At 45.6% G+C, this 27,563-nt stretch overlaps 1 long non-coding RNA gene across 1 annotated transcript, besides 3 other annotated features; it reads left to right on the top strand.

Annotated features, from left to right (window-relative positions):
* Window positions 1-352: 352 nt before the first annotated feature.
* LOC107984183 (uncharacterized) lies at window positions 353-22,191 on the top strand. Its single transcript, XR_001747308.1, has 3 exons — window positions 353-525; window positions 20,873-20,965; window positions 22,106-22,191. It is a non-coding gene; the product is annotated as an uncharacterized LOC107984183 (long non-coding RNA).
* Window positions 1,031-1,532: an enhancer, noted in NCBI's record as "H3K4me1 hESC enhancer chr10:123403785-123404286 (GRCh37/hg19 assembly coordinates)". NCBI's record gives its function as "activates a minimal SCP1, AML or CMV promoter by ChIP-STARR-seq in naive H9 embryonic stem cells {active_cell/tissue: H9 hESC(naive)}" and the evidence as "EXISTENCE:reporter gene assay evidence [ECO:0000049][PMID:30033119]".
* Window positions 21,047-21,546: an enhancer, noted in NCBI's record as "H3K4me1 hESC enhancer chr10:123383771-123384270 (GRCh37/hg19 assembly coordinates)". NCBI's record gives its function as "activates a minimal SCP1, AML or CMV promoter by ChIP-STARR-seq in naive H9 embryonic stem cells {active_cell/tissue: H9 hESC(naive)}" and the evidence as "EXISTENCE:reporter gene assay evidence [ECO:0000049][PMID:30033119]".
* Window positions 21,547-22,048: an enhancer, noted in NCBI's record as "H3K4me1 hESC enhancer chr10:123383269-123383770 (GRCh37/hg19 assembly coordinates)". NCBI's record gives its function as "activates a minimal SCP1, AML or CMV promoter by ChIP-STARR-seq in naive and primed H9 embryonic stem cells {active_cell/tissue: H9 hESC(naive and primed)}" and the evidence as "EXISTENCE:reporter gene assay evidence [ECO:0000049][PMID:30033119]".
* Window positions 22,192-27,563: the final 5,372 nt, after the last annotated feature.

Here is a 27,563-nt window from a genome sequence, read left to right as displayed (position 1 = left end):
CCCTGTTCTTTCCACAGCACTGGTTCCTCCATGGTTAGTATCCAGGTTTGGGTTTTCCATGTTGTTTTCCCCTCCACCTGCTGTGTGGAACTTTTTAGCGCCCAATAGAACCTTCCTTAGGGGAGAGATCACTGGACTCCCGCAGAAGCCGCCTTTGAGACCGTGGGTTAGTGAACAGGGACTCCTGGGGCAATGACAGGAGTTAATTGCATCAGGTTCCTGGCTCATGGTAAGTTTTTGGTAACTGTAGCTGTTACTACTATGATACTAATAACAATAATTATTAATGTTATAATTTAGGCCATTGGAAAAAGCAGTACAAAAATGTGACTGGTTTGTTCTTGTTTGCCAGGTGAATTTCCAGCTTCCCTGGGTGGGGTTGAGATGGGAACTATGGACCTGTCTTGCTTGGACTGAAGCGGCACCATGCAGCTGGCCACCTGTGGCTACCTGGCCATGGACCACAGCGTTCCCACCTCCACATCAGCCACAGACGCAAAGAGGAGCTGGGGTTCTGCACACCAGGTCGTAGCCCATATTTGATTTGATTTAAACCAGACACAGCCCTTTCTCAGGGCTCCCCTTCCCACATCCTGTTCCCAAGTGGCTTTGAGGATGAAGCCAAGTTCTCCTTAATGATATCACAGCGGGAGTTGATTGCTACCTTGAGTGATTTGGCTGCAACAAGCTTCATAAATGAGTGTTTCTTAAACTTGAATGTGCTTACAGATCACCTGCCGATCTTGTCACAAGGTAGAGGCAGATTTGGCAGGTCCGGAGTGACGTCTGAGATTCTGTGATTCTAACAAGCTCCCCGGGGAGGTCAAGGCTGCTGGTCCTCAGATCACCCTGGCAGTTGCAGGGCCCTACACACGTTATCTCCCTGCCTGGGCTGTGTGTCGGCCAGCTCGGCCTTCATGGGGAGCTTCTAGAAAACCCCTAGCAGGGCTTCTTTACTGCCCTGTGGTATAAAAACCATTCCCTGATGACATTAGGAGAGGGCCTCCCAGCAGCTGTGACCAGCCATCCAACAGGAGGAGGGGCCATGGCCTTGCTGTGCTAATGGTGGGTGACCTGGGACAAAAGCTGGCTCTGCAGTCTATCAAGCATAGTAGTCTGAGCTGTGGCAGCCACTCCTGCCCTGTGGGCATAGCCCAGGCTGCTGGGGGACTCAGCCCATCTGCGTGGGGCTCAGGACTGAGGAGCTCCTGGGGGTTCACTAGGAGAGTGGGGGGTTTGGACCCCCTTTACTCTGCTTTAGTCCCTGCTCTCAGTCATATGTAACCAGTTAGTGTGACTTGGGGTGTCATGTTACTGCCACATAGACTTCACCATGCTGCAGGGAACAGGGAAGGGGACTAATTCCCATCCCTGGGTCACCTGGCCCAGATCCTGAATCATCTTTCCCCCCAGCCAGTGCCGCAGTGTCTACTGAAGGGTAGTCACATTGTAGAGATTACGGAGGGCACGAAGGCTTCTGGAATATTCTAAAAGCAGAAGAGCATGAATACCCGAATCCTGAGAGACTGTGGGAATGAACGATCTTCTTCCCATTGGCCATGCATTGCCTGAGGTCCACTCCCTGCCACCCCACACTCGGTACCATCCGCAGCCACGGGGCCTTGTAATTTATGACGCTAGCATTTCCTGTAGGATATGGGGTGGAGAGCCAGGAATCATATGTTTTGTCCTTTCCCCTTCTTTCAAGGGTAACAGAGCATTCCCTCCGTTCCATAATCAAGGAATGAAACCTATGTCCCTGTTTGGATTGCATGAGTTTCAAAGACACCTTTCCAGGATTGAGATGTGATGAAGCCTCCACTGGAATTTTTAAATCATGAGTGGGGGTTAAGTGGTGAGCAGTTGAAAGAATCAGTTTGCAGCATCTATAAAAGCTGCTACGTTTCAAACTCAGGGTAGAGGTGCCAGGGCCACAGGAAAGCCGTGAGAGGGCTACCTGGACAGTGGGGAATGTGTGAGGGCTTGGGGAGAGAGATGCTGGTCCCACGGGTGACGGCCGGGCGTGGTGGCTCATGCCTGTAATCCCAGCACTTTGGGAGGCTAAGGCAGGCGGATCATGAGGTCAAGAGATCGAGACCATCCTGGACAACATGGTGAAACCCCGTCTCTACTAAAAATACAAAAATTAGCCAGGCATGGTGGTGCATGCCTGTAGTCCCAGCTACTCAGGAGGCTGAGGCAGGAGAATCGCTTGAACCTAGGAGGCGGAGGTTGCAGTGAGCTGAGATTGCGCCATTGCACTCCAGCCTGGTAACAGAGCGAGACTCCATCTCAAAAAAAAAAAAAAAAAAAAAAAAAAAAAGAAAAGAGAAGAGAAGAGAAGGGGAGGGGCCAGGGTGAGGCCAGCGGTAATGAAGTGAAGGGCTTGTCACCACAGCAAGGGCAGGGTGAGGATGGTCTGAAGAGGGGACGATACCGCCTCTGAGAAGAAACTAGCTAACACCAAGAATCTCCCCTGAGCCAGGTGTGGTGGCTCATGCCTGTAATCCCAGTGTTTGGGGAGGCTGAGGAGCGAAGATTGGTTGAAGCCAGGAGTTAGAGACCAGCCTGGTCAACACAGAGAAACCCTCGTCTCTACTAAAGTTACAAAAATTAAATGGACATGGTGGCACATGCCTATAGTTCCAGCTACTCAGGAGGCTGAGGTGGGAGGAAGGTTTGAGCCCAGGAGTTCAAGGCGGCAGTGACCTATGATTGCGCTATTCCACTGCACTCCAGTCTGGGTGACAAAGTGAGACCCTGTTTCAAAAAAAAAAAAAAAAGAAAAGAATCTTTCTTGAAACGAGTGCTTTACGTGTATGTGTGTTACTCAGTCTTCACAAAGATCACACACAGGAGATGTCATTATGCCCATTTTACAGATGCAAAAACGGAGGCTCCTTGACAGCTGCAGTCGTTTAAAGCCATGGTGCAGCCACCCAGTGATAGAATGCATCTTTGGCAATCTGTTTCGCCAAGCCCTCCAGGTGACTGCGAAGCACTGGAGTGATGACCTCATGGCTGGGGTTGTGCAGTGGTAGCCATTTTTCAAAAAGGAAAAACTGCTGTTAAAAACTGAGACATACCATTGTGAAAGCTTGATAGAGAAAAATAGCAACTGATGGCCTTCTAGGAGCACCCCGTGGACTCTTCAGGCAACTGATTTCCGAGCATGGACTAAGGCCAGAAGGGCTTTATAACTCCATGGAATCTGCATGTTTAGACAGTGTACATCAGCTTTTATTGAGAGGGAACAGCTTTTGTATTTGATAATGTTCTCATAAGGTAAGCTCTTCACCTTTAAGGATTTTATTGATTCAGGGCTTTCAGAAATGCCTTGTTTTGATCTGTTGCTGTGCAGAAGCTGAGCTAGTATATAAATATGGGTAGTGTTTATTGAGTATTTACTATGTGCTGGATATTGAATGTGCATTACACGTATTGCCTCATGTGATCCTCACAACATGCCAATGAGGCAGGTATTATTGTTATTCTTATTTTATAGATGGGGACATTGAGGCCCAGAAAGGTTCAGTAACTCTCTCTTTTTTTTTTTTTTTTTTTTGAGACAGAGTCTGGCTCTGTCGCCCAAGCTGGAGTGCAGTGGCACGATCTCGGCTCACTGCAAGCTCCGCCTCCCAGGTTCACGCCATTCTCCTGCCTCAGCCTCCCGAGTAGCTGGGACTACAGGCGCCCGCCACCACTCCCAGCTAATTTTTTGTATTTTTAGTACACACGGGGTTTCACTGTGTTAGCCGGGATGGTCTCGATCTCCTGACCTCATGATCTGCCTGCCTCGGCCTCCCAAAGTGCTGGCATTACAGGTGTGAGCCACTGCGCCCGGCCACAGTAACTTTCTCTTTGTCACAGAGCAGGGGAGGGTTGGAGCCAGGAAATGAGCCCAGGTTGTTTTTTAAAAAAAAACTTTTATTATAGAAAAATTTAAACATATATAAAAGTAGAAAAAAGTTGTATAATAAACCCCCATGCATCCATCACCCACTTTGAACAAGGATCAGCATTCTGCCATTCTTGTTTTATTTTTCTTCCTCACATTTGTTGTTTTCTGGAGTATTTGAATCCTGGATACCACATCATTTCACCTGTAACTACTTTCATAAGCCTTTGTAACAGATAAGGACTTTTCTTTTTTTAATATTACTATAATAAGATTATCACACCCCCAAAATTATTCCTTTATATCCTCTAATACTTGGTCCATGTCCAGTTCCCCTAACTGCCTCAAACCTGTTCTTTTGCAGTTGTAATGTCTGAATCAGGGCACAACCACCCAATGGTGTATTTGGTTGTTGTGTTTCGTTTCTTCAAATCTGTAAGTTTCCCACTTCTTTCCCTTTGCCATTTATTTGTAAAAAGTTCCATATTCTGGATTTTGCTATTTATATCTCTGTGGTGTCATTTAACATGTTCCTCTGTCCCCTATACTTCCTTTAAACTGTGTGTTAGAGCCAGAAGTGGATTTGATTGAGGTTGAATTTTCTGGAAATAATGTTTTCTGGGCGATACTATTCCTGCCTATTGCACAGATTCTCTGGTGACTCTGTTTTTGATGATGTGAAGATTGTCCAGTGGGCCAGGTGATGTCATCCTGATCAATGCATCACACAACTCTGCTGGAGTCTTCCACTTGTCTTAGCAGCCATCAGTATGTGTGATCAAGGTGCATTATAACATTACAGACAGCAAAATGGTGGGCGTCTCATCCCATCCTTCTGGTCTGTATTCATTAGCTGACATTCTTCTCTCAAGAGTTTCCTACATCAGTGACTTGTTAACCCAGGCAGTCTGGTTCTAGACTTTGCTCTCAGAATCTATGCTTCTCATATTTTCATGTGGGCACAAATCACACTCGTCAAAATGCAGATTCTGACTCAGTAGGTCTGGGGTAGGAGCTGAGAGACTGCATTATCGATAAGCTCCCAGGTGCTACAGATGCTGCTGCTCTGCAGACCACCCTCTGAAAGGAGCCCGGATCACCTGTTTTGCCAGTTAAACTGTTCAGACTGATGCTCTCCTCTACAGCATTCTTTATGAATGGCCAGCTATCTCTGAATGGGCAGCTATTCTAATGCTAACCAGTAGTTTGACATTTTCCCTCATAAAGGCAAGGTTAGTGGTTTAAACCTAAGCATCAGGGTGTATTATTCAGACTACAAAATGTTACTGTAGCTTAGAATGTTTTGAGAAAATTTGACACATCACATAATATAACATTGAAGGTACAATTTTTATTCTTGTCTTGTGTCTCACATTTTGTCAAAAGTGAAATGCTTTTCTAAGGGAAGGCCTGGTGACGTGCCAACCACCACTTAGCATCTTCTGGTGCCAAGTTTATAGACAGCTGTGGTTCTGCCTGCCCTGCAAGGCCTTTTTCTTTCGTTGGCAGAAACTTGGCATTGCTTTGGAGGACTATCTTTCCAAGGTCTTTTGCTCTCTCTTCATCAAAGCATGGGCCGATCAGACCTTCTCTCTCCATGAATTTAAATCTTGAGTAGAGCAATGTCAGGACTGAAGATGGCTGGAGCTGATTCCTTTCAACAAGAGTGCTGAGGAGAGATTGTCTTCGATGTCCTTCCTCTTAGGTTCTGGGAGCTCCCCTAGTCACATGTCTTCTAGCCCTGACTTCTCAATCTCTTTTTAAATATGTGAAGTATCTCATAAGTTCCAAATGAGATGTTTTTCTGCTTAAGTTATCCAGAGTTGCTTTCTGTTGCTCACAACCAAGAAACCCTAGGTAGAGCCTCCATCCTAGAGCCTCAAAATGGTGTGACTTACCTGCTATTGCTGTGACAGTGGAGAGTGAGCAGGTTGACAAGGAAGCACTTCAGGCATTTGTCTTAGTGATGCCAGCATCACCAATCACCCTTTAATAGTGATCACATGTCAGAGTACCCTGAAAGCAGGAGTAAAGATAATGAATTGCAACAGGAGAACCCCTTGGAATGAGGCTTCTTCCTCTTGACTTTTCCAGTGAATTTGGTTTTATGGGAAGCACATTTTTTCCCACTGGTCAGAGGAGCTTGTAATTTTACAGGCTAATCTTGCCCTTATGGAATAGAGGAAAGGAAACAAGAAGCTACCAGCATCAAAGATTGGGTCCTGTCATGAGGCCTCAGGTACCCTCCTTTCTACTACAGCCTCCTCAAGCCCTGGGGCTACAGCTTTATCTAAGGAGTAATGACTATGATCTCAAGGAGGCCCCTGAGTCATCAGAAAAGTTATGTTCAGTATGTTCTGCTTAAGAACAGAGGGAAGAGTTTTTGGCTACAGAAGGAAGAAGGATATATATCCTCAGCCATTCCTAATGAAATAAAGTAGTCAATAAACAGAAATAAAATCACAACAAGAACAAATGTAAGTAGTAACTAAACAAGGAATTACCTTTGTATCTAGAAAAGTCATGACCAGGCTGGGTGTGGTGGCTCATGCCTATAATCTCAGCACTTTGGGAGGCCAAGGCAGGAGGAAGGCTAGAACCCAGGAGTTTGAGACCAGCCTGGGCAGCATAGGGAGACCTCGTCTCTAGAAAAAAAGTACAAAAAAGTCAGCCAGGCATGTTGGTGCACACCTGTAGTCCCAGCTACTTGGGAGGTGAAGGTGCGAAGATCGCTTGAGCCTTGGAGATTGAGGCTACGGTGAGCTATGATTGCACCACTGCACTCCAGCCTGGGTGACAGAGTGAGACCCTGGGAGAAAAAAAGAAAGAAAAGAAAAGAAAAGAAAAGAAAAGAAAAGAAAAGAAAAGAAAAGTCATGACCTTGGAAAGAACCAGAAAATTCTGATGTAGTACAGCTCCTGAATTCAAACTGCTCTCTCCAATGAAAGAAGGAATTAATGAAACTTGGAGGATTCTTACTAATATTCTTCAGTCTAGAGAAAAACATGACCTCTAGCAGAGAAGACAAGAGTAAGCAGTTCCATGAAAAGTTCAGGGGAAAGATCCCTTGAGTTTGGAAGGCCCTAAATGTCACCTGGAAACCTTAGTGGAGAAAGGAGGGGTTGCCAAGGCTTGCCATTGTTCAGGAAGCCAAAACACACAGAAGTGTGATATAGCAATGGCTGGATGGAATGAACCTTAATTTCTGACATTTAGTGGGATCCCGAGAGAGAGAGAGCAGAGCCCAAACTTCCAAGAGAAGGCTACTGGCCAAGCTCCTACTCCTGACCTGCCCCTTCCCCATTTCCTTGTCCCCTGACTTTAGAAGGGTGGAGAGTTAGTAAAATCTATCTCCACACTGTAGCCCAGATGACATTGAGCCCGAGATAAAGTGAGAAAGTTGTCAAGGAAAATCCCCCCACTATTTCAGAATAAATAGGTGTTGAGCTAGATGTAGTGGCTTATGCCTGTAATCCTAACTACTTGGGAGGCTGAGGTGGGTGGATGGCTTGAGGCTAGGAGTTCAAGACCAGCCTGGGCAACATAAGGAGACCCTGTCTCTTAAAAACAACAGCAACAACAAACAGAGTAGATAGATGTGTACAGAGCTGTACCCATTAAACTTGAACAACATGATAAGACATGGTATGACAAATATTTAAACACACTATAGAACACAATAGCAGCAGATGAAAGAAAGGAAATATTGGTGAAAAAAAAATCAATGAAGGCCTGTCCTGGACAAAAACATATTCTTCAAGAACTACCTATGAATCTTTGATATAATAAAGAACTTAATAAGACTATGAAAGATTTAATTCATAAATTAGAAGTAAGGAATAATAAGGCTAGGCATGGTGGTTCATGCCTATAATCCCAGCAGTCTGGGAGGCTGAGGCAGGCAGATCACTTGAGATCAGGAGTTTGAGACCAGCCTGGCTAACATGGTGAAACCCCATCTATATTAAAAATACAAAAAATTAGCTATGGTAGTGTGAGCCTGTAGTCCCAGCTACTTGGGAGGCTGAAGCAGGAGAATTGCTTGAACCTGGGAGGTGAAGGTTGCAGTGAGCTGAAATTGCACCACTGCACCAGCCCGGGTGACAGAACAAGACTCAGTCTAAAAAAGAAAAAAAAAAAGAGAAGTAAGGAATAATAAAGATATGACTGAACAATCAAATTATTGGCATGGAAGAAGTGCTGAAATTATTCATGGCAAACACACAAGAAAAAGGCAAAGATTACAGTAGGTTAGAGGAGATGCTAGTTATGGAGGACAAAGATGATCCAATATAATTATAATTGATGTCTCTGAATTAGGTACCCAACAAAAAAAATAGGGAAAAATATGTTCAGAGATGTAGGTCATCAGAAATAAATTGCAAATTTTTAGATCAAAGGGCATCAAGGGGAAAAAATGATATGTAATGACTGACATTAACCTGTATCCTGGTTAAGATATTGAACTTGGAGGATAAACAAAGACTCCTTCAGACTTGCAGGCTGCCTGCAAGGGAAAAAAAGTCAGGTGTCCCAGACTTATTAAGAGAAGACAATAGAGTAATGTCTAGAGTGTACTGAAGGAAAGAAAGCAAAATCCAAAAATATTAAACAGATGCAAGCTGTCATTCAAGCAAAAGACTCGCAGGCAGACACTGATACAAGAAAGAGTTCAGGGACGATAGTACCCATGTATTCTTCTGTGAAAAAGCCCTGCCAACCAAAAAGATGGATTAAAATGAGGAACTTGGGGTGGATGCGGTGGCTCATGCCTGTAATCCCAGCACTTTTGGGAGGCCAAAGTGGGTGGATCACTTGAGGTCAGGAGTTTGAGACCAGCCTGGCCAACACAGTGAAACCCCGTCTCTCCTAAAAACACAAAAATTAGCCAGGCATGGTGGCACATGCCTGTAATCCCAGCTGCTTGGGAGGCTGGGGCAGGAGACTCACTTGAACCCGGGAGGCAGAGATTGCGCCACTGCACTCCAGCCTGGGTGACAGAACAAGACTCTGCCTAAAAAAAAAAAAAAAGGTAAACAAATAAATAAATAAAATGAGGAACTTAGAAATGCAACACACTTAACCAGGGAGTGGGGAAAAGGAGAAGGGAGAACATGATGGCAAATTTCCTCTTTCTTTTTTTAAAGAATAGTAAATCAAAATTAAAACAAAAATTTGAAAAAAAGCTCATGACTCCAATGCCTTCATGATTTTTAAGTATCATTTTTCTGAACCTTGGGAGAATTTATAAGTACGAATAGTCATCTCTCAGTGTTTGTGGGGAATTGGTTCCAGGACCCCTTTGGATTTATATCAAGTCCCTGATATAAAATGGTATAGTATTTGCACATAACCTATGCACATTCTTTAAATTGTCTCTAGATTGTTTGTAATACCTAATCCGATGCTTACATCACTTCATTTGCATGGATTCAACATAGTACTCAGCCCATGGCAAATTCAAGTTTTGCTTTACAGAACTTTTTATTTTTCTTTGAGACTGGGTCTCACTCTGTTCACCAGGCTGGAGTGCTATGGCATGATCTTGGCTCACGGCAACCTCTGCCTCCTGGGCTCAAGCGATCTTCCTAATTCAGCACTCTCCCAACCTCTAGTAGCTGGCTACAGGCACGTGTCACCTAATTTTTGTATTATTTGTAGAGATGGGGTTTTGCCATGTTGCCCAGGCTGGTCTTGAACTCGTGGGTTTGAGTGATCCACCCATCTCGGCCTCCCAAAGTGCTGGGATTACAGGCGTGAGCCACTGCACCAGGCCTACTTTTTGAAACCATGTGGAATTTTTTTTTCCAAATATTTTTGATCCATGATTCATTGAATCCACAGATGCAGAACCCACGGACACAGAAGGCCAACTGTATTTGTTTTGGAAATAACAATTTATTTTAAGTTCAGAAATCCCTTCAGCTTTTTTTACCTTCCATAAAATTTAAGTTCATTTAAATTTTATAAAGAATTTAAATTCTTTTTATTCTAATATGGCATTATGATATGGTACTCGTCTGTTAATCATTTAACGTTGTATGTAGAGCCTCCTGTGTGCCAGATACTGTTCTGGGAACTATGAAACTGCAGAGATAAAAACAAGAACCACAATATTATAAAATTATTTCTGCACACTCTGTATCCTTAGAGAAATTCAGGATGATGTTCACAAAATATTAATCTTACGATTTCTGGATTGTAGGATTTGGTGTGTGTCTTTGAACATTTTATGTTGATTAAACTTTTAAAGCACTTGTATAACGCTTTTTTAACTTTTTAATTTATTTATTTTTTCTTTTTGATTTTTTTGAGACAGGGTCTCACTCTGTTACCCAGGCTGGAGTGCAGCAGTGCCATCTCAGCTCACTGCAACCTCCACCTCCCAGGTTCAAGCAGTTCTCCTGCCTCAGCCTCCTGAGTAGCTGGGGCTACAGGCGCATGCCACCACGCCTGGCTAATTTTTGTATTTTTAGTACAGATGGGGTTTCACCATGTTGGCCAGGCTGGTTTTGAACTCCTGACCTCATGTAATCTGCCCCCGTTGGCCTCCCAAAGTGCTGGGATTACAGGCATGGGCCACCACGCCTGGCATTAATTGAATTTATTTTTAATTGACACATAATAATTGTACATATTTAGGGGTAAGAGTGATATTTCCTTTTAAAAATTAATTTAATATAACACTTTTCCATGAAAAAATTATGTGTTTTCAAAACTTGAGTGCTTTAATGAATTGGAAATTGGAGAATTATTCCTTCCATTTATTAATTTTGCAGTTTTTTCATTTGTAACGATGCTGAGGCCAGGCGTGGTGGCTCACTCCTGTAATCCCAGCACTTTGGGAGGCCAAGGTGGGCAGATCACGAGGTCAAGAGATTGAGACCATCCTGGCCAACATGGTGAAACTCTGTCTCTACTAAAAATACAAAATTAGCTGGGCGTGGTGGTGCACACCTGTAGTCCCAGCTACTTGGCAGGCTGAGGCTTTAAAAGTTGCTTTAATGTGAAATTCTTTGATCACTTGAACCTGGGAGGCGGAGGTTGCAGTGAGCTGAGATCGCACCACTGCACTCCAGCCTGGCTAAACACTTTTCCATGTCTTTTTTCACTAGGAATATATTCATCTTTGTTGACAGGTCTGTTATATAATTTTCCATTCCATATGCATTTATATGTGCTCTTTCTACCTTTGCTATCTTTGACATATTTTCTCTTGGCTGCAAATGTTATTCCCAGTCTTGTTTGTGTATGTATTTTTATTATTAAAATAATCTTTTCTTCTTGCTAAGAAATACATGATCACTGCAGAAAAATCAAATCATATAAATAAATGGAAAAAACAGAATTTTAAAAATCACACAATTCCACCTATTCAGAAATAACTTCCATTAACATCTTGGAGTTTATATTTCCAGATGCTTTTCTATATAATTACCATTTGGGATTTTTTAAAACAAAAATGTCACCATACCACACTGTTTTGCATATGCTTTTCTTCACTTAGTTTATTGTGAACATCTTTCCCTGTCATTGAACTTTTTTTGAAAGTTTAATGGTGTGTACTATTTTATTGTTTGGCTCTTTATTTTTAGTTAATTCACTGTCGGTCGTTTAGATGGTTTCCTGTCTTTCACTATTATAATGTATAATGCAGTAAATGTGCTTTATAAATAAATCGTTGTGCACACCCATACTCCTTTCCGTAGGACAAATCCTAGATGTAAAAAGTTGCTGGGGCAAAAGTAAAACACATTTCAAAATGATGCTTGACGTATGTTGAAAACTGCCATCTAGAATGGCTGAGCAAATTTCAGTTCCATCAGAGGTGTATGAAAGTGTCTGTCCTTGCAACTTGCATCCTTTTTGTCTCTTAAGCCTTCGCATAGGTGAAAAGTTATGTCTAAAACTTGCTTTAATGTGAAATTCTTTGATTACTAGGGAGGTTGATTTAAAACAAATACTTATTGGTCATTTCTATTTCTACTCTAAGAACTGCTTCTTCATGCGTTTTGCAATTTAAAAAGACTAGGCATCTATTTCTTCTTGCTTGGAATAGTTATGTAGTAAAGATAGTGATATTCCTGGTTTGACATTTTATTTGAATTGTGATCTCCTTTGTGCAGAAGTTTTAGCTTTTTTTCTGCAGTCATATTTGTCCAAATTTTCCTAAGTAACATTAAGGAAGTATATACTGCAACATATAAAAGTTTCTATTTAATCACAGTGAAAACAGAAAAACGTTCAAGCCCTTGACTTCGTTTCCACCAAGGCCCCCGTTTGACTCTCAGGCACTGCTCTTTCTGTTGAGGTTTTGGATTACTCTGGTTCCACTCCAGTTTGCTTTCATCTTTCCAGCACCAGGGTATTCGTGACTTGCTATGATCCATTCCTCTTGTCTGGGGCACCTATGACTCAGCAGGCCCTGTAGATAGAGATCACACAGGGTCTTCAGGGTGCCAGGGTTTTAAGCCAGGCTGGTGGAGCTGTCCCCAGGCACCAACACGAGTCCTCCTAGATGGGCAGCCCTTTCTGGAGGTGGGTGCCTGCTGATGTTTCAGCAGTCAGGGCATGCGACCTGGGTCTGGGCTCTGGTGTTGGGAAGTGTGAGGCATGAGGCAATGCTCTGGTTCTCAGGACCTGGGAGTCAGCTGAGAGCCCTGGGCCCGAGGCCTGAGCTGGGGCCCCACCATTGACAGTGAAGGTTAAAGAAGCTTGGTCATGAGAAACAGCAACATGCTGAGTCCAGAAACCAGGGGCTGGTCAGAGTCCAGCCGGCTGCCAGAAAGGATGCTGGAGGCTAAACACAAGAGCCGCCTGTCCCTGCAGGCTTCCCCATTCTTCTTCACCCCTCCCAGGCTTGAGGCAATCTCCTCCCACCTGGGACCCCCCCCTCCCTGCCGCCCAACAGCGCTTTACCTACTGCTTTTTAGTGTGCATTGCCATGTGTTACAGTTATTGATAAACAGGTGTCATCTCCCTCCTGGCCTGCAAACCCACTGACGGCCAGTCTCATCTTTGGATCCCTTGAGCACCCAACGCAGTGCCTGCAGAATGAGGGCCTTGCAGGACACATGCGACCACACTGATGGGATGGTTACTGGATTCGCAGCAACAGTTGCTCTTGCTCCTCCTCTTTCTCCCCCTCTTCATTCTTATTTTTATTGCTCTTCTTTTTTTTTTTTTTTTTTTTTTCTTTTGAGACAAGAGTCTTGCTCTGTCGCCCAGGCAGGAGTGCAGTGGCACAATCTCTGCTCACTGCAACCTCTGCCTCGGGGTTCAAGCAATTCTCCTGCCTCAGCCTCTTGAGTAGCTGGGACTGCAGGCTCACGCACCACCACACCTGGCTAATTTTTCCATTTTTAGTAGAAACGGGGTTTCACCATGTTGGTCAGGCTGGTCTTGAACTCCTGACCTCGTGATCTGCTGCCCTCAGTCTCCCAAAGTGTTGGGATTACAGGCACGAGCCACTGTGCCCAGCCCTTTTTTTTTTTTTTTTTTTTTTTTGAGATGGAGTCTTACTCTGTCTCCCAGGCTGGGGTGCAGTGGCACAATCTCGGTTCACTGCAGCCTCCGCTTCCTGGGTTCAAGTGATTCTCCTGCCTCAGCTTCCCAAGTACCTGGGACTACAGGTGCCCATCACCACACCCCGCTAATTTTTGTATTTTTAGTAGAGACGAGGTTTTGCCAAGTTGGCCACGCTGGTCTCGAATTCCTGACCTCAGCTGATCCGCATGCCTCGGCCTCCCAAAGTGCTGAGATTACAGGCGTGAGCCATCCCACCTGGCCTTCTTCTTCTTCGTTCACACATTCCTTCAAAGTTGGTTGTATTGATCCGGTAGTTCCTCTGATTTGGAAATTGCAATTTACCAGGTTCATTGAAGAAATAGGGAAATAGCCTTTTCCCAGTCATTCACATTTGCTCTCTGTTTGCAGCTCTTGAAAGACAGCTGTTGAAAATAAACCTGGACTGTTTCTCTTCCCGCACATGAGCTCTGCTTGCCCTGTACCCTGGCACGGGTCTATACGTGCAGATGTCAGGCTGTGTTCAAAACCCGGTTCAAACAATCAGTGCCCAGGCTGGGGGAGGCTGGCCCTCACCCTTCAGTGGGCCCCCTTTGGGTCCCCTGCCCAAGGTCCTGTTGCCAGTGCCAGCATGTAAAAAACTCCATGTGTGCAAGCTCTGACTTGGGAGAAGAAAGCCAGAATATGGCTGGGTGTTTCTAAGCCCCCCAAGCTCCACACTGTAAACACAAGATGTCCTGGCCACCAGAAAGAAACAGAGTAGCATTTGTTATTCTTTCAAATGTGCCTTTTAAGCATTTGGCAAGTCATCGTATAGAAAAGTAATGTGTGCTCCAGTGAAGGAGGGCTTGAGTGAATAAAGCTGACTGTTCGCTGTCTGGCCTGGTTTGTTTGACTTGAACAACAGTCAGAGGACGAGTGCATACTTGATCTTTCTTCTAAAGCAGAGTGTCTTATGCGTTGCCAATCCCTTCTCCAGGATGGGAAGCCTGGAGAAACCTCTGTGCCTTTACCAGTAACAACAGTAACTTTTAAAGACGTCACCCAGCATGGAACCACTTTCAGTGAAAAAACTGGAGGATTCAAACTTTTCTCCTTTGTTCCCGAAACAAACTGGGAATATAGATGCCTGGCTTCTGGTTTGAGTGTGGCCAGGTTTGCAGCTGTGTTACTGTAGACAAGTTGCTTGGCCTCTCTGTGCTGTACAAAGCAGATGGTCAGATTGACATTTGTGAAAACGTTGAGATCAGGGGCAGGCAAACTATGGCCCACGGGCCAAATCCATCCCACCACCTGCTTTGGTACAGGCTGTGTGAGGTAAGAAAGCTTTGTACCTTTACAAATCACCGAAAACAAATCAGAAGATGGCTAACATTTTCTGATATGCAAAAATGATAGGAAATTCACTTTATGCTATGGGAAAGAAGCCAGACACAAAAGGATAAATACTGCATGATTCCACTGACATGAAGTTCTTAGGGTGGTCAGATTCATAGAGGCAGAGTAGGATGGTGGTTTCAGTAGATGGGGTGGAGGAAGGGGGAGTTAGTATTTAATGTGCATCGAGTTTCAGTTTGAGAAGATGAAACATTTGTGGAGATGGGCGATGGGTGATGGTTTCAAAACCATGTGAATGTACTTATCACCATCGAATGGTGTACTTATCACCATCGAATGGTAGCTTTAAGATAGTTAAATGATAAAATTGTATGTTCTTTCCATTTCACCGCAGTAAAAATATGATATGACATCAAATTTCAGCATCCAAAAATCAAGTTTCATTGGGATACAGCCATGCCCATGACATACACACATATGATCTAGGGCTGCTTTTGCTACAAGGGCAGAGGAGAGTATTTGTAACAGAGACTGTGTGGCCTGCGAAGCCTAAAGAATCTGTAATGGCCTTTGCAAGAAAACACTTGCCAAGCCCTGGTTTACAGACATAAGATATGCTGCATTATGTGAGGGGGACAACGTTACCCAGAGCACTAATTCAGAAATGGTTTCCCATATGGTTCAGGGCAGAGTTAGATTCCCAATGTCACTATCCCCTCCCTCCCTTCCTCCCTCCCTCCCTCCCTTCCTTCCTTCCTTCCCTCCTTCCTTCTTCCGAGACAGAGTCTCACTCTGTCACCCAAGCTGGAGTGCAGTGGCACGATCTTGGCTCACTGCAACCTCCACCTCCCAGGTTCAAGCGATTCTCCTGCCTCAGCCTCCTGAGTAGCTGGGATTACAGTCATGCACCACCACACCCGGCTAATTTTTGTATTTTTAGTGGAGACGGGGTTACACCATGTTGGCAAGGCTGGTCTCAAACTCCTGACCTCAGGTGATCCACCCACCTCGGCCTCCCAAAGTGCTGGGATTACCACTGTGCCCAGCCTATAGCCATCTCTTTAAAGAGATGCTACTTACTGCATGGCCCTGTGCCTTAGTTTCCCCATCTGTAAATAGGGCTAATACCCTACCTCATAGGATTAAAGAGTGGATCTGTGCAGTTTGGGATCATGAAAAAGTGCTGGAGATGGATGGTGGCAATGATTGCACAACAACGTGAACGATCTTAATGAACAAACGGTGCACTTAAAAATGACCAATATGGGCCAGGTGCGGTGGCTCATGCCTGTAATCCCAGCACTTTAGGAGGCCGAAGCAGGTAGATCCCTTGAGGTGAAGAGTTCGAGACCAGCCTGGCAAACATGGTGAAACCCTGTCTCTACCAAAAATACAAAAATTAGCCGGGCATGGTGCCGGGCACCTGTAATCCCAGCTACTCGGGAGGCTGAGGCAGGAGAATCACATAAACCTAGGAGGCGGAGGTTGCAGTGAGCCGAGATGACGACACTGCACTCCAGCCTGAGCAACAGAGCCGGACTCTGTTTCAAAAAAAAAAAAAAGACCAATATGGTACACTTTATGTTATACTCCTTTGACCACAGAATTTAAAACGACTGGATGTGTGTACAGTGCCTAGAACTGCATGTGGCATGCAGCAAGCATTCAATAAATGCAAGTCGTCTCCATAATGAAGAGTGGGAACCAGATGTTGATGCTCATGCTGTGTGAGGCTGTGTGCACTTGGGTTCCACTGGCTGCATAGTGTGTGCGCTGTCAGACCCTACTTTAAGACACGCACATCAATTGCTGAAAGCAGTCTGTCTGCCTGTGTATTCTAGTGCAGGGATTTTGTGTAATGATGAGCAGGGGAAATTGGTTGGGCACTGGGGTTTTCCTCCACACTGAAAGGAGCCATCGACGAAAGGAATATGCTTGAATTCTTCTTCCTTGATGATACCCAGGTGGCCAAAATAGGGCTTGCAGCTTCCCTAGTCCCACTCTGTCTATCCTCCCACGGTGAAAACCAGTTAGAAACAACCAGCCCCAGAGGGCACTAAATGATGAGCTGGGACTAGGGGGTGACTGGCAAGGTCCTTGCTTGATCTCTTCTAATACTATGAGCAAATAGTTTCCTTTAGAGATGATTAAGAACATTACTGTTGCATAATTAATTGTCTTAAAACCAACCATTCCACTTCATTGATTTGCTATTTTTAGCAAGATTTTCCACAGTCTCTTTGTTTTGTTTCCAAAATAATTGAGTTACAGCTAAATTAATGAGAAGTGATCATTTCATTGCTTTAAAAGGCTTACGTCTTCTCAGGGAAGCACGCGGCCCTCAACCCAGTCCTTTGTAGCACAGTCAGGACTAGCAGGGCAGGCAATAGAGTTATATAAGACTTCTCTTCAAGTAAAACTTTATCTCTGATTTTTAAAAACGTTGTAAAGAAATGTTGATGGGGAAAGCCAGTTGAAGTCCCAGCCTGGATGTATCATTCTCCAAAGAAAAGAGCCCCAGTGCCTGGAAACTGACAGAAATGAAAGGCAGGGCTGTGAGGAGAGCGTCACAATTTAAACAGGCTTTGCTAAAAATCACAGTGCACGCTGCAAAACGGCAGCTCGCATTTCAGTCTCAGAGTTTTGCTACAGTCTGTGATTATCCGTTTGAAGAGTCGGGCCATAACTTAATTCTGTAAATCAGAGCGTTCCTCAAAAAGAGACTTGGGGGGCTCTGCTGAGCCTTTTCTTGGCAGCCTGGCTTGGAAGTGGTGAGTGCCTTTTCCCCTAGTCAAAGCCATGAAGACTAAGCTGAGAGACGAGAAATTTTAGCCTGTTTAAAAGAAACTCAGTCCGTATGCGGCTGCCTGACAAGACCCAGGGTGTGCTGGAGATTTAAAAATGTGATGATCACACTTTGTTTGGGACATGAGAGCGGGGAAGTGGAGGGGAACTGGATAATTCTTTAGCAAGTGAAGGCATGTGCAAAGCATGGATCTGAAAGACATTCTGTAAACACATTTTTACAAGCAGCGTGCTGAACTGACTCATTTGGGGTGATGGGACTTGGTTGTAAGAGATTCTGTTATAGATAATACCTCTTTTAGAACCGCGGTGTGCTGGCTACCCACAATTGGCAGGGACAAGCAGAAGGGTTGAGCGGCACTCAGATGGGTCTTGGGAGAAAATGGATAACATGGTCGAAACTGGAGAGACTGGCTGGTGGCTCCAGAGCATTAAGACATGTACAAGCAGGCAGAGTGAGGGGAAGGAGGGCTTGGTATCACATAGGCAGTGGTGTACTGGCAAATGTTTAACAACTGGTTTTCTAAGAAATGTTCTAAAAAGCCTTGATTTGTAGTGTTTGCTGATTTCCATAGTGTAAATACTTCCAGAATGGCTCATTTCGAGCTATCTATGTGTCTTCCCTAAACATGGCCTTGGCAAGAGGTGCACACAGTTGGCTCCTGTGAACCAGGAGAGCCGGCTCTAGCTCACAGATGAGATAAATAGTGATTTTCCAGGATTTAAGGGAGAAATGAAAATGCTCTGGAAAAAGGACGTGAATGGGGAAACCTATCAAGTATAAATTAGGCTGAGTTATTTAGCAGGGGGGTGGGGTGCCGCCCATTATTTCTCACTGGAGGTAAGACTGGAGCTAAGACATTTCATTCAGCAGGGATGTTTGGGGGTCTTTTTGAGAGTTCTTGCATCTTGACTGGGAAAGCTAGGTCATTGTCAGTTCCTCCCAATGGTAAGCAATGTGACAGACATTGAGAACAATGACATTCAGCAAATGTTTACCTGAGAGCCATGGTATCCCACCCACTGTGCCAAGCACGGCATCTGTCTCTAAATAACTGAGTCTCTAGGAGCAGACATATAAACAAGTAATTAGGCTGTGTGTGGTGGCTCACGCCTGTAATCCCAGCACTTTGGGAGGCCAAGGTGGGAAGATCACTTGAGGTCAGGAGTTTGAGACCAGCCTGGCCAACATGGTGAAACCCCATGAGTACTAGAACTACAAAAATTAGCCGGGCATGGTGGCATGCACCTGTAATCCCAGCTACATGGGAGACTGAGGCAGGAGAATTGCTTGAACCTGGGAGGCGGAGGTTGCAGTGAGCCGAGATCACGCCATTGCACTCTAGACTCCAGCCTAGGCAACTGAGTGAGACTCTGTCTCTAAATAAATAAACAAAAAAGTAATTATACTATGATAGAGACATGAATGGGAGCAGTTAATTCTGACCAGGATGTGTCAATAATCAGGATGAACCAGTGATTTCTGAAACAAACACGCTGAAAGAAGACAGGGGAAGCTGAAAGTAGGTTGTTGGTATCACCGAAACCAGGACGCTAGCTACCATTCCTGGTATAAGAATCTACACGGTGGCCCGGCGCAGCGGCTCACGCCTGTAATCCCAGCACTTTGGGAGGCCGAGGTGGGTGGATCGCCTGAGGTTAGGAGTTCAAGAGCAGCCTGGCCAACATGGTGAAACCCTGTCTCTACAAAAGTACAAAAATTAGCCGGGCACATTGGTGGGTGCCTGTAATCCAGCTACTCGGGAGGCTGAGGCAGGAGAATCGCTTGAACCTAGGAGGCAGAGGTTGCAGTGAGCCGAGATCGAGATTGTGGCATTGCACTCCAGTCTGGGCAACACAGCGAGACTCCAACTCAAAAAAAAAAAAAAAAAAAGAATCTACATGATGAAATCTTCTACTTCAGTGCAAGAGAATCCAGGAAACACATCGTTAGCAATCACACACTGTTGTGTGGCCTGGGGCCACCTCAGAGAGGTTTTTTAACATCTCTGAAGTTCACTGCCATCCTTTGTAAATGAGGATCTTTCAGAACCTTGGTGGGGCTTAGAGGTCACCTCCTCACAGCTCTTTTCTGCAGTGTTATGGAGACAACCGCTGGTAGCTTAGCTCCCCAAGTGGGACCCAGAGCCTGGGACCAAAACCAGTGTGACCTTAAAGCAATGTTCTGCTAATAGGCAGTGTGACTTCAGGTTGCTCAGCCTATTCAGGTTCACTAGCTTCATATGTCAAATAAATATGTTGGATTTGATGATCTCTAAGCATCTCCTCTATTAAATAATAATAGCCGGGGTACCCACAACCCTTGGTTGTTGGGCTAGACCTGGTTTACGCCTGTTATTCTGTTATGACTTTTTTTTTTTTTGAGACAGTCTCGCTCTGTTGCCCAGGCTAGAGTGCAGTGGCATGATTTGGCTCACTGCAACCTCTGCCTCCCGGGTTCAAGCAATTCTCCTGCCTCAGCCTCCCAAGTAGCTGGGGCTACAGGCACACACCACCATGTCTGGCTAATTTTTTATATTTTTAGTGGAGATGGGGTTTCATCATGTTGGCCAGGCTGGTCTCAAACTTCTAACCGCAGGTGATCCACCTGCCTCGGCCTCCCAAAGTGATGGGATTACAGACGTGAGTCATTGTGCCTGGCCCTGGTATGATTATTATAGTCCCCTATTCACTATCAAAAGTGTCCCTGGTCAGCAATCATGTATATAGTCACCTTCAACAACTAACATTTTAAAAGTACTTCCTCCTTGCCAGTTTTATCAATATGATTTTATTTTATCAGTTCAGCTTATGAAGACATGTGTTTAGACAGCTTCAGGCCCCACAGACAGAGCTGATACTCACACCCAGATCCTAGATCTGTCCGAAGCCAACATCTTAATCCTTCTTAGCCACTATGCTTTGCCCCCTCTGTGTTGTTCGGTCACTCTACAAATATTTACAGAGTGTCTGCTATTCTATTCTAGTCCTGTGGTTCAGAAGAGGTTTCCAGAAACACGTTCAAAAAGCTCTGCCTACGAAGCTGGCAATTGCTAAGAAGCAAAAAGCATTATTAACTAGGTTCATGCCCACGCACACCCTGGAAGGCTTTCGTGCATGTGTGGAGCATACGAGGCACATGAGGCATCAAGGGACACTAGCAGCAAATGAGCTTTGCCTTTTCAACTCGATGCATTGGGGAGGCCCAAATAATCTGAAACATTAGCTTAAGTAAAGCACCAATTAAGTAGGTGTGTTGGGTGCAGGGCATGTTTCAGCTTGATAATTGTTCTTTATTCTGCACAGATGTGGGTCAGATTCCCAGAGATGCCCAATTCTGATGCCAAAGAAAGTCGGGAGACTCGCGAGGGACTTAAAGAGACAGCACAGCTTTTCCAGGTACAACTGGTTTGCTCCACGCAGGGACTCTGAGATAAAGAAACCAAACAAAGATCCAGTAGGAAGGAGGGAGTGAATGGTGGGAGAGGTAGGTTCTGTGTTCACCCGCGGTCATTTAAGCAGAGTCCCCTGTGTGCCGGGTGCTGTTTTAGATACTGATTTTGAGTGATGTTGATACAAGCCTGCTTTCTCATGACTCCTGATAGTTGTCCTTTATTCTAACTATTGCAGCTTCATAGATGCCGCCTTGAATCCCTACCGCTACAGGACATGGCTGACTTTTTTTTTTTTTGAGACAGAGTCTCGCTCTGTCACCAGGTTGGAGTGCAGTGGCGTGATCTCAGCTCACTGCAACCTCCACCTCCCGGGTTCAAGGGATTCTCCTGCCTCAGCCTCCTGAGTAGCTGAGATTACAGGCACACGCTACCACACCCAGCTAATTTTTGTATTTTTAGTAGAGAAGGGGTTTCAACACGTTGGCCAGTATGGTCTCAATCTCCTGACCTCGTGATCCGCCCGCCTCAGCCTCCCAAAGTGCTGGGATTACAGGCATGAGCCACCGTGCCTGGACAACTTTTTTTTTTTTTTTGAGATGGAATTTCGCTCTTGTTGCCCAGGTTGGAGTGCAATGGTGCAGTCTCGGCTCGCAGCAACCTCTGTCTCCTGGGTTCAAACGATTCTCCTGCCTCAGCCTCCCAAGTAGCTGGGATTAGAAGTACTTGCCACCACGCCTGGCTAATTTTTGTATTTTTAGTAGAGGCGTGGTTTTACCATGTTGGCCAGGCTGGGCTCGAACTCCTGACCTCAGGTGATCCACCTAGCTTGGACTCCCAAAGTGCTGGTTTTACAGACATGAGCCACTGTGCCTGGCCCATGGCTGACTCTTAATCAGCTTCCCTCAGCTAAGGGTCCCCTCTGTCTATTTCAAGGCTGGGTAAACTCCAGGCTGCTAGATCGGACGTGCTCATTATATTAATGGTGTCTGTTTCCTCTGATCAACACCATGATACCACACGGAAAGCAGGCAGGCAATTTTGGCTTGGTGCACAGATGGGACCACCAGGGCCGGGAGGGTGACGCTTGTTAGGGTTTAGCTGAGGCTCAAGTGCCATCAGTTCCAAACACGTGTGCTTTCCACAGCATGCTGAGACCTGAGGGCTGAGTGCAGCTCTTTGGAACTTAAGAAGAAAGAAGTGGGACCAAGGTGAGCAAAGGGACTGGGTGCAGAGTTCCATCTCATGGCTGCTGGTCCAGTCCATCTCAAAACCAGCTTCATCATAGAGCTGTCCTATCTCTGCCACCACACATACCCAGCTAAGAGATACTTCTTTTTTTTTTTTTAATGGCAAAGGCAGATGTCTTTGCTTAAGTTTCCTGGCAGCCCTGGCAGCTGGTTGAGACACCTCTGAGCTCTACCGCAGTTCCTGCTAAAGCCACTTGGTTGGGTTTGCAAGGCACAGCTATGCAGCTGCTCATGGGTCTGGTCAGGCTTCTCCAACCTCGGAAGTTCTGCAGGTCTTTGCAGGCTCCCTCCTCAGCTTCCCTCGGGTGCCATCCTTGGGGCAAGGGGCTATCACCATCGTCTGGGCTTGGCAATGAGTAGTCCATGTTCTGTGGACCTACACTGTAAAAAGCATGGCCCCACATCACCTGGGAACCGGTAGACATGCAGAATCTCAGGCCCCACACCAGAACTACTGAGTCAGCTTCTACATTTCCACAAGGTCCCCAAGTGCTCTGTGCACACACTGAAGTATGAATGGAGTCCTGCTTTGGGATGTGGCTGTCCACCTGCAGAAGATTAGGGTCCAAGACCAAGAAGGATGAGGCCCCTCACTAACTCTCTACTTCCATTACTTTACTTTTGTTTCTGCTTTTGCTGCAATTAATAATTGTCTTATTTATTTGTTTATTGTCTATCTCCCCCAGAATATAAATCATATGGAGGCAAAGATATTGTCTCAGTCAGTGCTGAATTCTTAGTGTCTTTCCCAGAGCTCTGCACAAGGTAGGCATTCAAAAAATATTAGTAGGTTGGCTGGTGGGTTGGATAAATGTGTGAATGAAGCAATGAAGATAGAGAAAGGGGAAGAAGGAGGGAAATAGGTAGGTGCTTTGGCTGACAAGTTGGCTGTCCTCTTCTTTAGGTCCTTAGAGACAACTCTTGTCATTCTCACTCTCCTGTGAATGTTTTGGCCCAGGTGCAAGGCTGCTGTTAGTAGCAATGTGACTGGGTGGGGTATAGAGTTGTTGCAAGAAATCTCCAGTCACCAGCACTGTGAATGGAGAATGTGGTCGTCACATTTAATTCAGCAGGGAAACTCTTTTGTAAATGAAATCTGATGCAGAAACCCAATCTAGATGATGTATGTATCCGGGGTGTTCATTGCTCTTGGATTCCAGATCAGGGGACACTGACATGCCCTGCTCAGGCCTCCCAACCACAGGTGCCCTCAAGGGGACAGGGTCTTCCTCCTGGGCCACTCTGGGCACTTGCTCTGGCATCCCTTCCCCTCCATCCTTCTTGTTCTGTGCTCACCTTTTTTAGATTGCATGGACAAATGCTCTTCTGCATCTCCTCTTTCATGCTGGGGCTTGATGGTTCATCAGAGTAATGCCAAAGCCAGTCATATTCCTGCAACAGGGCCAGCCTGATAGTAGTGGGCACAGCACCCTGAGTCCTCCCTGGAACCTAGCGACCTTCCCCAGCCTACACAAGACGGACTTTTTATCCTGCTAAACAGATAACAGCAGAAGGGTCCCTAGATCCACAGTGTGGCTGGGGGACCAGAGCCTCCTCCATAAGGCCAACCCCTCTCCAGCTGCCTCCTTGTTGCTCCTGAAGAATTACTCAATGACAGACCATGGTCAATAAATCTCTGCTACCCAATTTCGCAGATGGAAAAACTGAAGCCAGAGAAGAGCAGTGACCTGCCTTTGTCCCCCAGTGGCTGAGCTGGGGTGACAGTTGCATCCCCTGGGAGATCCATAGCTCTTACCTCAGCCCCTTCTCCAGCCTGGCCCTCTCTTTTGGCAAAAGAAAAATGCTAAGCAATGGTGAGTTACTAGACTGATGGTCCCTAGGGGCCAAGTTACGGAAGGGTGACTTGTTTTTCTCTGTGGTCAAGTGTCCTTTTACTGACAACTCTTCAGTAGTACAAAATTCAGACTTTGTATCTTAGCATGATATTTGGTGGCTGGCTCGCCAACACAAGTGTCAGGTGGCATGAAATCAAAACACAGCAGCAGAGAGCTTTGGCCCTTGAATCATTTGTTCATAAAAGATTACTTTTTCAGTAGCTGCAGAATCAAAATTGTGACTTTTTACTGATACAAGGATCACATGGTTCACTTTTTTTTTTTTTTTTGGAGATGAAGTTTTGCTCCTGTTGCCCAGGCTGGAGTGCAATGCCATGATCTTGGCTCACTGCAACCTCCGCCTCCCGGGTTCAGGTGATTCTCCTGCCTCAGCCTCCTGAGTAGCTGCGATTTACAGGCGCCTACCACCACGCCCTGCTAGTTTTGTATTATTAGCAGAGACAGGGTTTCACCATGTTGGCCAGGCTGGTCTCGAACTCCTGACCTCAGGTCATCCACCCGCCTCAGCCTCCTGAAGTGCTGGGATTACAGGTGTGAGCCACTGCGCCCAGCCACACAGGACTCACTTTTGCAGGAAGGGACCCATTCTTGCAGGGCACTGTTGTCTTCTATGGCTCTCCTCACACTTGTCATTGCTAGTTCAATACCTGTGTCCTCACCTGACTCCACACTCCAAGACTCACATTTGCTGCTGTCCCCGGGTCTGGCATACCAGGTACTTGATAAATGTTGGCTGAATGAATGAATAAACAAATCTACGATTCAGTGGAACTCCTCTGGAGTTTCTTGGTTATTTATTGCAGAGTTTGTCCACACAATGTCTTCTTATCAAATGCCTCCCAGTTACCTCCCAGATGTGTCTTGATGTGGAGACCAAATCTCTTTTTTGTTCATTCCAGCTTGGTTGTAAGTTGGTTTTGGGAACACGTTGCACAAGAAAGTAGAAAAATATGCAGAGAGCAGACTGCTGCACTAGTGGAGACGCGCGGGGGCTGTGGCCCTCCAGAGCTGCTAAGCTTTGCCCTCACGTCCTCTGAAATTGCCTTGTAGGTGAGAAATCACTTTCTGGAAATCTGGTGTGGTTTTCACCTTCCTCATTGGGAAGGCATTTAAAGCTGTTTCTGACGTCCACACCCATCCTCCCAGCTTGCTCAAGGAATTGATAGAAGTGGCCTCCTGGGTATGCAGGGGTCTCCTCAGGGGTCCAGCTCGGAGATCCATGCTGGGCTAAAGATGTGATATCTGCAGTCTATGTATGTGAAATCAGAGAGGGATGGGTGAAAAACAAGGTTTCTTTCTTTTTTTAAAAAAAGGTTTTTAAAAGAGGAGTTAAAAAAAAAAGAGCAAGTATGTGCCCCTCTCTTTCATGTGCACTTTCTATGTAATTTTTTTTTTTTTATTTTTTGAGATGGAGTCTCACTCTATTACTCAGGCTGGAGTGCAGTGGCACAATCTCGGCTCACTGCAGCCTCTGCTTCTCAGGTTCAAACAATTCTCGTGCCTCAGCCTCCCGAGTAGCTGGGACTACAGGCATGTGCCACCACACCCAGCTAATTTTTGTATTTTTAGTAAAGATGGGTTTCACCATGTTGGCCAGGCTGGTCTCAAACTCCTGACCTCAGGTGATCTGCCTGCCTCCGCCTCCCAAAGTGCTGGGATTACAGGCGTGAGCCACCTCGCCCGGCCTACCTATGTAGTCTTAACTTACCACACATGAATTAAGCCCTAGGATGAAGTTCCACTTTATTTAGTTCACAGCGTTGTCACTTCTTGTGGAAAACAAGTGTTGAATGATAGGTTTGGAGCTCAGAACTGAAGGGTGCAGAGAGGAAGTAGGTTTCCTAGTCTGATCTCACCAGGAGACTTGAAGCAGGAGTTTGCAGTTAAAGAAGACTTCCTGTTTGCCTGAGGAACATCCTATCCAGACTCAAAAGAAGGAAAGAAAAAGGTGGCTAGACCAGGTCAATGGACTTCAAAACACCAGGTTTCCACTCCTGTCATCATTGCTCACACAGGGAGTGAAAGAGGAAGAGGTTTCTCTTGTTTCTATAGCTTTGTGCCCTCAGGTTGTTGGTCTCCCTGCCAGTTGTGATGTGACTGCTCTCCTTCACTCCGTTTGTTGTGACTCCTTACTCCATGAACTGGGGTCTTTAGCACTATAATAATGTCACCAAAGTTGGGTGTCATTCTCCATTTCCCTAACAGTGACCACCTGCAGTGGGTTAAAAGGTGGCTGCAAAGTTTTTGCCACCTCTCCCATCAAGGGGTAAAGATTCTTTCCACTCCTCTTGCATCTTGGCTGGCATATGACTTGGTTTGCTCAATAGAATGTGACAAAAGCAATGTTGTGTAACTTCCAAAGTCAGGACTTAAGAGATTTGCAACTTTTGCTTTCCCTTTCTTGGAACACTCCTGCTTGGAATTCAGTGCTATGCTGTGATAAGCTCCAGCCTAGTAGAGAGCCCATATGGAAGGAAAATGAGGTGCTTCTATCGACAGCTCACCTGAGCCCCTGACTGACAGCCAGCAGGAACTGCCAACTAGGTGAGTGAATGAGAGAGTGCTCACTCCAGCCCAGTTGAGCTTCTGGATGAGAGTGGCCCCTGATGACATCACTATAGAACAGAAGAACCACCCAGCTGAGCCCAGTCAACCTACAGAATTGCAAGTAATGATAAATGGTTGTTGTTTTAAGCGACTATATTTTAGGATCATTTGTTATGCAACAATGCACAAATGAAACTTATAGCAGGGTTTGTGAAAATTTCTGAAGGCAGAGAATGTCTTTTCCTAATTTCTTACAAAGTGCAGTGTTTGGCTAGGGTGTAAATTTCCAATGAAAACTGGACCTGGGTGGTGATTTTTTCAATATTAGAACCAAAGGGGCCCTTGCAAAGTGCCTTACCCACTCATTTTTTACTCATAGGCGGGTGACCTTCCTTGTCAGCTGGAAAGCCCTGTCCTCATTCTGGCATCAGGAAGCCTCTCCTTCCCTGGATGATCTCAAACTATTTTCGTCATGTGGATTGCATGTTATTTACTTATCTTCTCTGCCTCTACCTCCAACCTGCCAGCAATATCTGGATGCTTTCTAAAGTCAAGTCTTGGTCCCTGTGGACAAAATGCCAAAGGCTGTCTTTACTCATCTTTCACATGAGTGAAAGTCAAGGAAGGCTTGGAGTACCCGACACTTCAGGGTGCCTCCCATTGCTGGACTCCCTGTGGCTGCTCCAAGCCTCACCTCGGGGAGCCCATTTTAGCAGCACCCCGGGCATCTTTGCCAATTCCAGGGATGCCATAGAGGCTTCAGAACTAAATGGATGTGAATCCATTTTATTTCAAACAATATTCCATGAGTGGGGCAAGTGAAAATCACGGAGGGCAGAATGAGAGCCTCTCGGGAGGGGACCAGGTGGGCATGGGACTCTCACCCTCCTGCAGTCCCCAGATGCCCCTTGCTGTGGTGTCTGTTGACAACCTCAAGATGCCAGAAGCTGCC

This window comes from Homo sapiens, chromosome 10 (genome assembly GCF_000001405.40).
Source record: "Homo sapiens chromosome 10, GRCh38.p14 Primary Assembly".
Classification (NCBI taxonomy): Eukaryota; Metazoa; Chordata; class Mammalia; order Primates; family Hominidae; genus Homo; species Homo sapiens.
Note: the sequence above shows the minus strand (reverse complement) of the source record. Positions and strands in the feature narration are given on the sequence as shown.